General features: G+C 36.4%; 1 protein-coding gene across 3 annotated transcripts in view; it reads left to right on the top strand.

Moving 5' to 3' along the window:
* Nucleotides 1-14,924, top strand: part of PLXDC2 (plexin domain containing 2) — a 473,425-nt gene that overhangs the window by 334,588 nt on the left and 123,913 nt on the right. For all 3 annotated transcript variants that reach the window (NM_032812.9, NM_001282736.2, XM_011519750.3), the window contains one exon: nt 13,449-13,548. In NM_032812.9, coding sequence (NP_116201.7) covers nt 13,449-13,548 — 100 coding nt within the window. The remainder of the gene's footprint in view (nt 1-13,448; nt 13,549-14,924) is intronic.

The raw sequence follows: 14,924 nt of genomic DNA on the forward strand, positions 1-14,924 counted from the left end.
TTTTTACTTTATTATTTACTTTACTTTATTATTTGCCTTTCTGTTCTTTCTTTGTTCTCGATACAAAGCAGTTTCTACTTTTCTAGTCTACCACTTTTTGCTTCCCAATAATTGTTATGTATTTTATTTTGCTAAGGCAAATTGTTATTTGTAAAATTTGTCGTAAGAGAGTCCCCTTGCATTTGAGGTGAGAGCTAGAAGCTCCTGGCACTGCTGGAAAAATATTCCTAATCACATGATAGCATAAAATAGTAGTTTGCGTAATGTATTACCACTTACAAAGTACTTTCACATGCATTATAGCATTTAATTCCTCAATAGTTTCCTACAGCTTTAATATCCTAAGTATTTTACAATAGCGGTGGTACATAGAAGCTGTTCAATAAATGTTTATGACTTAATTTTGGAAATAGATCATACATGATTATCTTCATTTTATAGCTGAGCAGGGTAAGTCAGAGAGATTAAATGACATACTTGAGGTCACAGAGCTAGTTAAGAATAAATCCAGAATTTAATTTGATGATCCCAAGACATCTCAACCATTTTCTCTGCCTAAAGAGATTATGTAAAACAATTCACAAATCTATGTCTCATTTGTCTTTCCAATAAGCGTTTCTTAATATTGGCTGTTTAACAATCTTGCTTATTAGACTTGTCATATCACACAATTACAAGTATAGATAAGAGAGGTATTCCTACTTCATTTGCAGAACTAACCAAATTCTAAGAGCATATAATTACAAGGAGTAAAATTTTCTGTTCCTGTCCAAGCTAAACTTGCCAAATTATACATAGGGAAGTACGTGTAATTCTTTCTGTAATAAGTTTCTTCTAATAGGCTAACACCAGCTTTGTTTTGTTTCATTATGTTTTATGTGAATGAGAAGAAAAATTCTGATTTACACAAAACCCACCACCAATTTGGGGCTTGTTTTAAAATTGTAAATTTTAATTACCATTAAATTTTACATTAAAATTAGTAATGGATTGAATAAATTTAGTTAAGTAAATTTCATTTTCAATGCCCTCATTCAATTTATCTTAGTATTTAAATGTGCCAACCATGCTAAGCATGTACATGACCTCCAATCCTTTCATGCTGCAAATATTGTCATTTCTTCAATAGCATAATTTTTTTGCAGTGCACACTAAATGATGAATGATCAATAAATAAGAAAATACATTTAGAGTTATAACAATCTTGCTTATAGTGGGATTGAAATAGGGAAGTACAACTGCTGCTTAAAATAAGAATGAATACAGATTTGCTCATAATATTCAGTGTTTCTTCACCAATACCCTGTTGTTTTCTAGAATCATATTGGAGAGAAGACTTGTGGAGGCATGGATTCCCTTAAGTAATTAAGTTATTTTTCCTGAGGTTATAGCTCTGTGTTGTTCAACCAAAGATTTGAAATTCTGTTTTAAATTATGGGCCCTTACTGTTACACAGCTGCATATTTTAATTAACTTCAAAGATAGAGTTTGCTTAGAAATCAGCCAAAATACAATAAGAATAATATTTTTTTAAAGTTCTTTTTCTCAAATTACCAACTGTTCATTATAATGCATTTTTCAATTTTAGAGTATCCAGTTGTTTTTTAGACAGATTTAATTACCTGATAAAATTAACTATAACATCTATTTCCTTGACTATATTAATAACAATTATTTTAAACCTTATGACTAATAACTCCAATATCTAAATGTCTTACAGGTCTGTCTCTATCACCTGTTTTCTTTTTATTTCCTCTAGATTTTCATTCATTGGTCATATTTCTTTGCATGCTAGGTGATTTTTAAAATAAAATATTGGACATGGTTTACAAAGTACCAAAGTACTTTGAGGATGTAGATAATGTTTTCTTCCTACAAGACAGTTTATTTTTTTGGCAGTTGGTACAGAACAGATAACTTTAATACTGTACAGCTAAGCCCCTTCAAAGTTGAGCATCAGTTCTTATGAGACCAGAATATTTCTGGTAAGCCCTTACTCTTCTAGTCCTTCAGGGATCTCCACTAAAGATCTGAATTTTTGCTATGGACCTTTTCCTTAGTGCCCCTGAATGCATGTATTTTTCTTCAGCTCCATGAGACAGCCCAAAGGCTGTGGAAAGGCAAATCATTCTTACCTGTGTTCACAAGTGGCTATGAAATGATTGATATAATATGAGGTGCTAAGCTATGGAATGAAAATGACTAGCCAGGAAAGACAGTCAAGGATATCAAAATGAACCATTGAACCATTCAGTCATGTATTGAAAAGAAAGTGTATAGGGTAGTTACTTAAACTCTCTGGGCTAAGTCAGTGAGACCTTCTCACTCTCTAACACTTGCTTATACATTGGCAAATGCTTTGATGGGAAAAGTGTTGTTGGGTTTACGTCTGCATTTTCCTTTCTTTGGGATTTTGTCTTTTCAAGACCTTGCTCTTTGATAACTACCTGAAGTTTTCAGTGGAAGCTTTCCATATTTTATTCACATTTCCTGCTTGATTTAAGTGGTAGAAATGATCTTAATCTTGTGTGCCATAACCAGAAGTGAAAGTCACATTCACATTTAACAATAACCTCCAAAGTTGATAAAATCTAGCATTTCTTGAGCTCTTCATATATGTCAAGCACCGACCTAAGCATTTAAAATAAATTATGTATACTTCTCACAAAAACCATGAGTAGCTACTTTTGTCATTTACGGAAAAGGAACCTGAAATACCCAGAGACCTTAAGTAACTTTTCCAAAGATATGGAACAAAGATTTATCCAAAGAAATATGACTCTAAAGCCCTAAGGCCTAGCTACTGTACCAGAATGCCCTCTTAAAAACTTTCTTTTCAATAAGTGACTGAATCAATTCATTCATTCTGATATCCTTGACAGTCTTCCTTAGCCAGTCATTATCATACCATAGCCTAATATATCATATCATAGCATATCAAGGCCATTTGGGAGCAAAGGTAAGGTTTGCCTATCCACAGCATTTATCTTATTAATCTATAATTTTTTAAATGAAAGAACCTGTACATAGGCCAAAAAAAAACCGGATCCTTTCTTAAATACATGGAGTTTGGAAATCAAACTCTCATTTTCCTATTCTATTAGTAATTAGCTATAACCCTAAATCTCAGCTTCTTCGTATTAAGTTGCCATTAAATAGTGATGATTTTTGCTTGATTATAATAGATATGGTTCTAAAATTTGTGGTCTATTGATAATGTAACAAGGAAACTAACAATTCTCAAAAAAACATTTTATTCCAATGGCCGGGTACGGTGGCTCACGCCTGTGATCCCAGCACTTTGGGAGGCCAAGGTGGGCTGATCACTTGAGGTCAGGAGTTGGAGACCAGCCTGGCAACATGGTGTAACCCTGTCTCTACTAAAAATACAAAAATTAGCTGGGCATGGTGGTGCACGCCTGTAATCCTAGCTACTGAGGAGGCTGAGGCAGGAGAATCTCTTGAACCCGGGAGGCAGAAGTTGCACTGAGCAGAGATCATGCCACTGCCTTCCAGCCTGGGCGACAGAAGGAGACTCTGTCTCAAAAAAAAAAAAAAATGTATTTAAAAAATCCTGGAGATTTGAAATAAGGGTCTTTACAGGCCTTGATGCTGTCTATCCTAGGATACTCTTACTTTGTAGAAGTTGCAGTTTCTTTGACTTGTCTTATCTCTATTCTCTTGATATACTTGGCATTTGTAATCACTCTGGACACAAACTATAGGTGGATGTGACTCTTTTTTTGTGTCAACTGCAAACTCGGGTTCTTTTTTTTCACTAGCTTATGTGAGGAATAAGGATAGTCATTAGGTTAGGAAACTGTAATTTAAATAAAAATGTCATATAATCCTACTAGATGGCAACAGGAGAAAAATCACAGAAGAGACAAGACTGGCTTAGCCCAGGAGTCAGCCTGTTCTATCCATTTTCTTGGTTGAATACTTTACCATTTCCTTCAGCAGCAAATTTTAGAGGAGGTCAATATAGAGGAACTTTACTGTTTATTAAGTAAAATCACTTTTTAATCTATTCTATTTAAGTATTTAAACCTAATGTTCCTTGGTGTCACATTTGCTGCTTCTATGGAAGAATGCATAGTTAATAAATCACCATTGCCAATTAGTTGTAAGTTTCAATGGGGCTCTTAATGCATTTTTTAAAATTTCTTTGAAGATTATTTCTCTTATTTAAACTGTAATGACCCTTCACTCATGGTTAGCCGCCTGAAAGTATTGAAAGATGAACATTGGCTGAACTTGTAGAATTTATAGAAAAAAGGTAATTCAAGAAAGTCAGAGAAGGCCAAAAAGAACAGAACAGTGAGACCACCACCATTTAGATATAAGGTAATTTCCTTCTATAACTATTGCTACATCTGTGAGAATACTTGATGTGTGAATATAGTGTATACAGCCAAGACATTTGATAAATGTGTGAGCAGAAAAGAATAATATATATGTACATATATATCTAATACAAGGAAAAGAAAACCAGATTGAATAAAATGCTGATTAAAAGCTCTCAAGAAATAATTCTAAGGAAAATGTAGAGACAGATATTTTATATCATAGGACTTCCCTATATTTTAAACAAGTAAAATATTAAAATTTTATCTACACAGCTTCATGTGGGATCTAATTCATTTGTATTTGTAGAGATATTTTATTTTTTAGCTATCTCACATATAGAAGTGCCTGACATTTTAATTTTTTGTTTACTTTTCCTAGTGTAAGAAAATAAGTTGAATTATTCTCCCTTGATCATGTTCTGATGGCAAATGCTGTGTGTAAAAATAAATAAATAAAGTAGCCAGGTAGAAAGATCAATGTCCCAGAGGAAATTATTTTATTTTATTTTATGTATTATTATTACTTTTTAAGACAGAGTCTCATTCTGTTGCCTCGGCTGGAGTGCAGTGGCGCGATCTCAGCTCGCTGCAACCTCTGCCTCCCGAGTTCAAATGACTATCCTGCCTCAGCCTCCCAAGGAGCTGGGATTACAGGTGCATGCCACCATGCCTAGCTAATTTTTTGTGTCTCCCCCAAACCCAGGGTGTAGACTTTCCTTAATCTCCTTTCTTTTCCCTTGATGTTTAAGTCCCAAGCCATGTTTAGATAAGTTTCCTTATCTAGCTATTGTCCCAGGTAAAATCCACACCAGAGTCTTGACTATCTTGAGTCCAATGGCACAAGCTTCTTCAAGTGGGCACCCTGCGTCACTGTCTTTTGTGTGAAGTTCAGACTCTTCGTGTTCCAATTCAATGTGAGCAGTCTTAACTCAGAGGGCACACTTTTTACTCTGTGTATGTTTTTATGTTTTAAGTGTACACGTTTGTAAAACAGATATGTTGCCGACATCTAAATATTAAAATATTTCAAGTAAAAATATAGATGTGCGTTTTTTCCTTGAGGACTCGGAAAGCCCTGGAAGCCCTTGTCTTGCAAATATTGCCTGGAAAATTCACTCAAAGTGTGCACCCTCCAATTTCTCCCTCATGAATTTCTTCTCTTACCCAAGGCACACAGTAGCTTATGTAGAAAGGAAGTTTGAAACCTCTTTTTTAAAGTGGAGGTGGATTTTACTTATCATCTTCATGCTGTTAGTTGACTGCTTCCAGATTTTCTACAGATTATGATTGTGGAGATGGGGGCAGGAGGCATGTTAGGAATTGATCGTTTGATGATAGCTCACCTTGACTGTCACGCTGTTAGATGCATTGCTCAATACCTGGCAGATGAGAGTTCAGGAGCTGTACAATAAAAAAAGATGGAAATAATTGTGCAAATTGTTACTGATACCCTGGAAAGCAAATGGATTTTTACATTGTCAAGTTTAACTGAAAGCCCTTCTATTCAAGTGTAGTTTACAGACAACTCACCATTAATATTTTGGACTTTATGTGTTTGTTTGTTTTGTAGAGACAGTTTCTTGCTCTGTCATCCAGGCTGGAGTGCAATGGCACTATCATAGCTCACTGCAGCCTCCAACTCCTGGGCTCGAGTGATTCTCCTGCCTCAGCCTCCAAGGTAGCTTGTGCTACAGGTTGTTGTTTTGATAATAATAAAAGAGATCATGACTCTTAAAAATTAGATTCACTGCTGATAACACTGAAGCCAGGTCAGATACTTAAGTAAAACGAAGGAGAAAGTTAAGGGTTACAGGCAGATAAGAATGGGTAAAACAGAAACCTTTGAGTTTATTGTGGGATTTTGTTGTTGCTGTTGTTTTTAATATTAAGCTACTGAACACCATATTGCAGATTAGCAGGGAAACAAAAATGAGTTTGGAGTAATTCTTTTCCAGTTAAGGTTAGATAGGCATATGATTCACACCTTGGAACACATACTATACAATCAAACCCTTGCTGAGATACTGTGCTGCCTACTGGATAGATAGCTGGGCCTGTAATGGAAACAAATGAATGTTTTGGTGATGTTTTCAGGGCAGAACAAAGAGGAAAATAAAATTCCATTAACTATTACTTAAGCGGCATGCTGTTATCTCCCTGGTTTAGAGACAGATGTAAAAAGCTCATGGTTAAGGAATTGTTTGGGGTTCCTGTGTGCTGGAGAAAGATACCACAGAGTGGAGAAGAGAGGAGCTTCTGTCTTTGACTCTCCTTCCAAAGGCCAGTGTGCTCTGCTCTACTATTTTTACCCCTGACATCTTTTCCTGCCTTGATTTTGTGTAGCAATTGCAACCACTTTCTGCTTCTATGCTTACTTTGCTTTGCTTTAATATCTGTTATAGAAAAATGTATACCAAGTAATAAACCTATCTCTATCTTGTTATATAGAGCAAAAATTATACTGTTATTTAAAAGAAGTATTCATGAATGCTTTTAGGGGTCAAAATGGAAGCATATTTTAACCAGTGTGAAAGCTCCTTTTATTTCTATCCTGTGGAGAGAATGTAATTGTAAAACCAATTCCTCAGAAATGTGCGATTCAATACAGATCATACAGAGGCCCAGTTAAAATTTAGCTTTGCTTTAATCTTAAGGCAACTATTATAGACACTTAAAAATAATAAAGCTACATTGTTTAAAAAAAAAAACTTCTGTAGTTTAGAGTTTTTATTATTTCAGTTTGGCTTCCTGACACCCCCAGGATCTCGTGATGACTCACGAGACATTTTGAGGATGAATATAAATTTGTAGAAAGGATAAGAAAATCGCTTCCTGTAATCAAAGTTTTTAAAGTTTTGGTGCTTTAACATGTTTTTGGTCCATATGTTCATTGACTTTGGCACTTCATATCCTTCTAAATACAGAGTCTTCTATAAAATACGTGATCATGACAATAACATGTTCATTCTTGTGCTAATTTGCCCAATACTTCTAAATAGCTATACTTCTAAATAGCTATACTTCTAAATAGCTTGTTTATACATACACATATGCACACACATAATGTCTTTGTTATTAGTCAAAAAGAAGTTCATTTTACAGCCTGGGTAACATAATGAGACTCTGTCTCTGCAAAAAAAAAAAAAAAAAAAAAAAAAATTAAAAAGAACTAGCAAGCAAGCTACTCGGGAGGCTAAGGCAGGAAGATCACTTGAGCCCTGGAGGTTGAGACTGCAGTGAACTGTGATTGCACCACTGCACTCCAGCCTGGGCAACAGAATGAGACTCTGTCTCAAATAAATAAGTAAATAAATAAATAAATAAATAAATATTTTTAAAAGTAGTTTATTTTAAATGTACCTTTTAATAATATAGTCTCTAATTTTATGCTGACAGAGGACCCTGCAGACTGGTCTCATGATAGGAAAATATCAGGTGTGGAGAGGCAGACATGTTCCATAGGAAATTTTAGAGAAAGCCTGGAATTGTTCACCTTTTCCTCATTAATCTTTGATGACATTAGACATTTAATTCACTTGGCAAAATCAGTTTTTTCAAAATCTGGCATGTAATGGTTTCATAAAAGCCTTGGGTGGCTTCTAGGAAAATATAAGTAGTTGAAAGTTTCTTGTACATTTTCATTTTAATATTTAATCAGGACAAAAGAGTACAGTTTTAGAAATCCTGGGCTCTTACTCATGAGCTCTACAAAATTTTAATGGAGAACATTTGAAGCCAGTGGTTTTGCCATAAAGTGGTCATCCCTCTCCAGCGCTTCCTCTCCTGGTCTTTGAATGTTTCAGGACTGGTCTTGAGAGCTGCATATGTTGTTCCCTGCATATCGAAAGGACACTTCTCATAGACCGTGAAGTGAGTGAGTCCTCTGGAGTTGTACAACCTATAACATTCCTGATGAAAACACCATTTCATTGCTCTTGCTACTGAAACCAAAAGCCTTTGTGGTATCCTTTACTCTGCTTTTGTCCCTCGCTGTCTTTATTAAATCTATGGGGAGTCTCAATAGCAGTGCATACATAATTCTTCCAGAATCTGCCTCTGTCACTTACACCACTGTTACCACTTTGGGGTGGAGCATGGCACCTTCTCTTACCTGGAAAACTGTGATACCCTCCTAACTAGTTTGTCTGGCTCCCGTTGTCCTTCTACAGTCTTGATTTCCCAGCAGCCAGCGTGATATTTTTCCAAAATAAAGGAATGTCCTTTCCTCTGCTCAAAACCTCCCAAATCTTTCTGTATCTTTTGGACTAAAATCCAGTGTCACTGTCATGGCTTGCAAGGAATACACGCTCCCTATGATCTGCCCCTACCACCTCCCATCACCTTTGACACACTTGTTTACTACTTCTGCTCCAGCTGTAGAGACAACCTTTTAACTCCTAAAATTCAGTCAAGCCCTTTACATGTGCCGGTACATCTACCCACAGTTGTTTCCCAAATATCCACATGACAGATTTTCTTACTTCCTTCGAGTTTCTGCTGAAAAATCACCTTCTCAGAGAGAGCTTCTGCGACTCTCTTCTCTCCTAGAGATCCCTGTTCCTCTCTATCTTCTTACTCTGTTTTAGTTTTCTCCTTGGTACTAACCACCTTCTAGTATGCTATAGGTTTTATGTTCACTTGTTTTAATGCCTGTCCCTGTTCTCTAGAATGTAGGCTCTGTGAGAGAAGGGTCTTTGTTTTCCTATCTGCTGTAATTCCAGTGCCTACAATAATACAGAAAATATATTCAATTAATATCTGATGAATGAATGAATGGATTCTATCTTATCAAATGGACAGTGTGTATGCCTTTTGGGGAAAATAATTTATATCTAGTAGACATCATTCTTAGGAATCTATTTTCTACTGTCTAATCCCCAATTATATTAAGACTCATAGTAGAGTTATATGGTAGTGGTGGTTTGACAGATGCAGTAATCAGAAATCATTAACCCATGAATATGTACACTTAAAAAACTGGCAACAAGTTAAAGCATAACTCTTGACTACAAATGATGATTTCTACCTAACTTCTACTCTCCTTACATAAAGGTAGAGTATTTCACCCTTATCATTTTAGTTTGTATCGTTGTTAACAATTTACTTGTTGAAGCTTGGAAAAGTCAAAATCATTTGAAAAAAATTTAATTTGATAACTGAAAGAATCAAAGATCACTTATAGTGATCTTCCTAGAGGGTTGGTCAGTTATATATCAGATAATTTTCAGTGATAGAAAACTCAGTACACCGTGAGGCTACCCATTTTGGTTTCGGGTAAATTTTTCTCCTGTTAAATGAATCTAAATCTAGGTAATTTATGTATATTGGGCTTAGTTTTTGAAATGCACAGACAAAAGAATAAACTAAAGAGACAGAAGAATGAAAAAAAAATGCTGCACAAAGTGAAACTTTTCTACTGGAACATTCCAATCTTTCAAGTTTAATTATACCTAGAATTAGATATTTATCTGAAATCTGGGCATGATGGTGTGCACCTGTAGTCCCAGCTACTAGGGAGGCTGAGGCAGGAGTATTGCTTAAGCCCAGGTGTTTGAGGCTGCAGTGAGCTATGATCATGCCACTGCACTCCAGCCTGGGCAACACAGTGAGACCCAATGTCTTAAAAATAGATACTTATCTGATTCCCAGAAAATTAGGATGAGCAATACTACCTCATTTTATGGAGAAACACCCATATTCTATTCTATTGGCTATTTGACTTTTAACAGAGAATGTATTGATTGATATTGCTGTGTAATAAACCACCCCAAAATGTAGTGGCTTAAAACAACTCCATTTCTTATTTCTCACAAGTTGCCTATAAATCAGCTTGCTGGTTCTACTGATATGGGCTGGACCCTGCTGATCTCAGCTGAGCTTCTGAATGTGTAAGCTGTTATCTGGTGGACTGGCTGGGAGCTGGCTAGGCAAGGATAACTTTTGGTGCAAAAAAATAAAAATTAAAAAAAAAAATCCTTCATGTGTCTTGTATACATCTGCAGAAGACCAGTAGTGTACATTTTCTTGGCTGTAGCAAGGGTCCAAGAAAGGAAGTAGTAAGCAGTTTTTCAAGTCTCTCTCTCTCTTTTTTTTTTTTTGCTTCAAGCTTCCTGCTCTCCTCTTTTGCCATATTATTGAGCCTGGAATCTGAGTGGGAGAGGACGACAGAGGGTCTGGGCACAAGGAAGCCATTGATTGAGGCCATTACTGCAATCAACCCACCACCAATAAAAAGCACTGGAGGAGAGGGCTTGACATAGACCCAAAACATAAAGGAAGGGGGTGAAAGGAAGGAAAGAGATTGAGGAAAAAAAATAAAAATAAAAGATGGCTGGGTAAGGGAAGAAGAGATAGGGAAGAGAGACAGAAAAGGTAGAATGCGGCTGGGTGCAGTGGCTCACACCTTTAATCCCAGCAATTTGGGAGGCCGAGGTGGGCGGATCACCTGAGGTCAGGAGTTCAAGACCATCCTGACCAACATGGGGAAACCTCCTCTCTACTAAAAATACAAAGTTAGCTGGGCGCAGTGTCACTTGCCTTTAATCCCAGCTACTCAGGAGGCTGAGGTAGGAGAATTGCTTGAACCCGGGAGGTGGTGAGACAAGATTGTGCCATTGCACTCCAGCCTGGACAACAAGAGTGAAACTCTGTCAGAAAAAGAAAGAAAGAAAGAAAGAGAGAGAGAGAGAGAGAGAGAGAGAGAGAAGGAAGGAAGGAAGGAAGGAAGGAAGGAAGGAAGGAAGGAAGGAAGGAAGGAAGGAAAGAAAGAAGGAAAGAAAAAGGAAGGAAGGAAGGAAGAGAAAAGAAGGAAAGAAGGAAAGAAAGAAAAGGTGGAATGCATAATCTGGAGAGTGGAGAATGCATCTGGGAGGGCTGCAGGAACCAAGACATGTGACTTAAAAAACAAGCTCTGACATAAACATGTACTATACATAATGACATAATAGGATTTTCCAGTTGATAGCAGTATAAGCTCAAGTACTGCTGTGGGTATGGGAAAAGAAGACAAGCAATAAATTACCACAGAATCATCTGGTAAAGCCTTTTTCAACTTGCAGAGGAAAACTGAACTCACAGAAGTTGGAGAAGGGGGTCAAGTGACAAATGACAGGAACAGTGGCATTTATATGATGGCATTAATAGATGCTTGCTTCTATTAATAGATTCTGCTTAAAAATGAGATGATCATGTCTTATTAGGATACAAAAATATAAGTGAATTGGAATTTTTCCCTATGCTTTTCCATCTTCTTGTATGTTTTAACTGTAAGTCTGTCTTAAATACAAATTACTTTCATATTAGAGTACTCAGCATGGGGTATAAGACTGGGAAACAGTATAATGCTCACTAAGAAAGAGGATTTCACATATTGATACTGAATTTAGGTTAGTAAATCAGTAAATAAAATATATCAGCCAGGCGCAGTAGCTCACGCCTGCAATCCCAGCACTTTGGGAGGCTGAGGTGGGTGGATCACTTGAGGCCAGGAGTTCCAGACCAGCCTGGCCAACATGGTGAAACCCCATCTCTACTAAAAATACAAAAAAAAAAAAAAAAAAAAATCCAGCTGGGTGTGGTGACACACGCCTGTAATCTCAGCTATTTGGGAGGCTGAGGCATGAGAATAGCTTCAACCCGGGAGGCGGAGGTTGCACTCCAGCCTGGGAGATGGAGTGAGACTGTCCCAAAAATAAAAAATAAAAAATAAAGTATATCAGACTTGGATATAAATTTTGATTTTGTTTTGCTTGTTTTGTGTGTTTCTGTTATCCAAATACCAGAAGACTAATTTATATTGGTTAAGAATTGAGCATACTGACACAAAATTTGCAAACACTTTAACGTTGTTTAAGAGAGACCTGAAATAATACATTAAGGGAAAATGTCATCTTCTATTTACTTGTTTCAAGATAATTCCACAAATTCCAAAAGCAATGAACTTTTTTCTTAATTTGTCCATTTTAACAAAATAGCCCTTTCACAGTTTCATGATGTCGTGGTCAAAAATAAGTCAGAGAGTTTTTATTATAGATTGTATTGTATTGTATTATATTATATATTCTCTCCCACTTATTATATATTCTCTCCAACTTATTCCCCTTCTTATTGTTATGCTGTTTATTATGGCTTACACAGCAATATCTGATCTAATATATTATTTAATGAATTGCCCACAGATCACCCAAAATCTGCTTATTCTGCCTAAAGACGTTTTCGGTGCATTTATTCTTTTCTTTTACTTTCCTGTTTCTTTGTTTATTGAAGATGGTTTCATTCCCATTTTTGTTTCTGTAAAACTGATAATAAAGAGAGTAATCATATCTCCAATGGATCTTTTCTGAATCTGGAAACATGGACTCCCAAGAGTTCATGTCATTTATAACTCTTATATCATTTTTCATATATTCTCAATGTATCATAATTTTTTAACTGTAAATATTAGAAATGTCTATCGTATTCAGATCTTGGTTTCATTGAGATTCAAATACAAGAACTGTGACATTGAGATGACCCATAAGAACTTAGAAGTCTTTCATAGTAGTTTCAACCAGAATGGTGAAATGATTGCCAAATTTAATTAGATATTAATCAACAATGATATTGTCAAATGTATATTTAACAGTGCATTTATTTGTTTTTCTCTAGATTTTATATCTATAAGACTGCTTATAAACAAAGATTTTCTAAAACTGTATAAAAACAAATATACAGTAAAGTTTTTTTTCAGAAAACAAATAGTAAGAGGAAAATCTGTTTCCAAAATTATAGCCAGCACTAAATGAATTCATGGTGTGCCTATATGTGTGATAGGTTTGCAGCATCTAACATCAATTATATTATCTGAGAATCTATTACTTTCAACATCAAGTAGCCTTCTTTAGAACCAGGAACTCCCTGTCTCTTCTATTCATTCAATAGCACTAAACTGATGTTATTTTTTGGTTTCGTATGTCTCTCTTTTCTAATACCTTTGACTCCCTTTCTAGTCTTTTATCTCCTTCCCATGGTTTTGTCCATGAAACAAGAGGATCCTACTACCTTTCCTCCCTGTATGAAATTCAGATCTAACATATAGTTACCTGCTTTGTTTTTTTCCAGATTCCTGTCTTGGTCACACAGATAAGTTCAACCAATCATCCAGTGAAAGTCGGACTGTCCGATGCATTTGTCGTTGTCCACAGGATCCAACAAATTCCCAGTACGTAGAAGAAGGGCAGTCGCAATGAGTGAGCCTCTGTGGGGGTAAATTTAAAGGAGATTGGTCTATGGCAGCTGTACCTGAATTAAAAAAAAAATAGCTAATCGATTAGCTGATTAATGCTTGTTAATTCTGTTGTTTGCTTTATAACTCCGATTGGGCTATCTCTGTCACCCTTGAGCTAACTCAGGTAAAGACAAATTAAATAGTGAAGCCAAAAATGTGTAATTTTGGACTCTTTTTCTTGGTTCTTTTTTCTTTCTTTTGATTTGGGGTCTTACTCTGTCACCCAGGCTGGAGTGCAGTGGTGCACTCACAGCTCACTGCAACCTTGACCTCCCAGGCTCAAATGATCCTCCTACCTCAGTATCCTGAGTAGCTGGGACCACGGGCATGCGCTATCATGCTCATGCTTGGCTAACTTTTTTTATTATTTGAAGAAGTGAGGTCTTGCTGTGTTGCCCAGGCTGGTCTTGAACTCCTGAGCTTAAGTGGTCTTCCTGCCTCAGCCTCCCAAAGTGCTAGGATTACAGGCGTGAGCCACCATGCCCAGCCAGATTCTTTGGGATAGTTGGCAGATACAGTTCTTTTATTAATGAGAATGACATAAAACAGTGACAGATTATTGGATTGATAGGCATATGACTTTTCATATATGTTTGGCTTAAGTGTATGAGCAAAACCGCAGCTTTGTGCTATCTTTTTTTTTTCTTTCTTTTATTATTGTACTTTAAGTTTTAGGGTACATGTGCACATTGTGCAGGTTATTTACATATGTATACATGGTGCCACGCTGGTGCGCTACACCCACTAACTCGTCATCTAGCATTAGGTATATCTCCCAATGCTATCCCTCCCCTTTCCCCCCACCCCACAACAGTCCCCAGAGTATGATGTTCCCCTTCCTGTGTCCATGTGATCTCATTGTTCAATTCCCACCTATGAGTGAGAATATGCGGTGTTTGGTTTTTTGTTCTTGTGATAGTTTACTGAGAATGATGATTTCCAATTTCATCCATGTCCCTGTGCTATCTTATATTTAATGTATTTGTGTAAAACTGTTTGGGAGTCTAAAGGAAGATGAAAGAAAAGGTACAAATTTAGGTAAATAAAAATCCGGGGGCAGCTCTACCTACCACGAGAGAAGATAAGTATTTTCTTTAAATTACGTTTGCCCATCTAGTCTAGTTTACATTTTATAGAATAAAAAGGGACGTGTTGCTTTGGACAACTGTTTGTTATATTAGAAACCAAAATGCTAACTGCATTAGCCATTCTGACCCTATAAATAGGCATCTGTTGAAAGCTTCTGGTTTTTGAATCTCCTTCACTCCAAGAACAGTCCCGAGAGATGCTTTGGTGTCATAGTACGTGAA

The sequence above is a fragment of the Homo sapiens genome, chromosome 10 (assembly GCF_000001405.40).
Source record: "Homo sapiens chromosome 10, GRCh38.p14 Primary Assembly".
NCBI classification, from domain to species: Eukaryota; Metazoa; Chordata; class Mammalia; order Primates; family Hominidae; genus Homo; species Homo sapiens.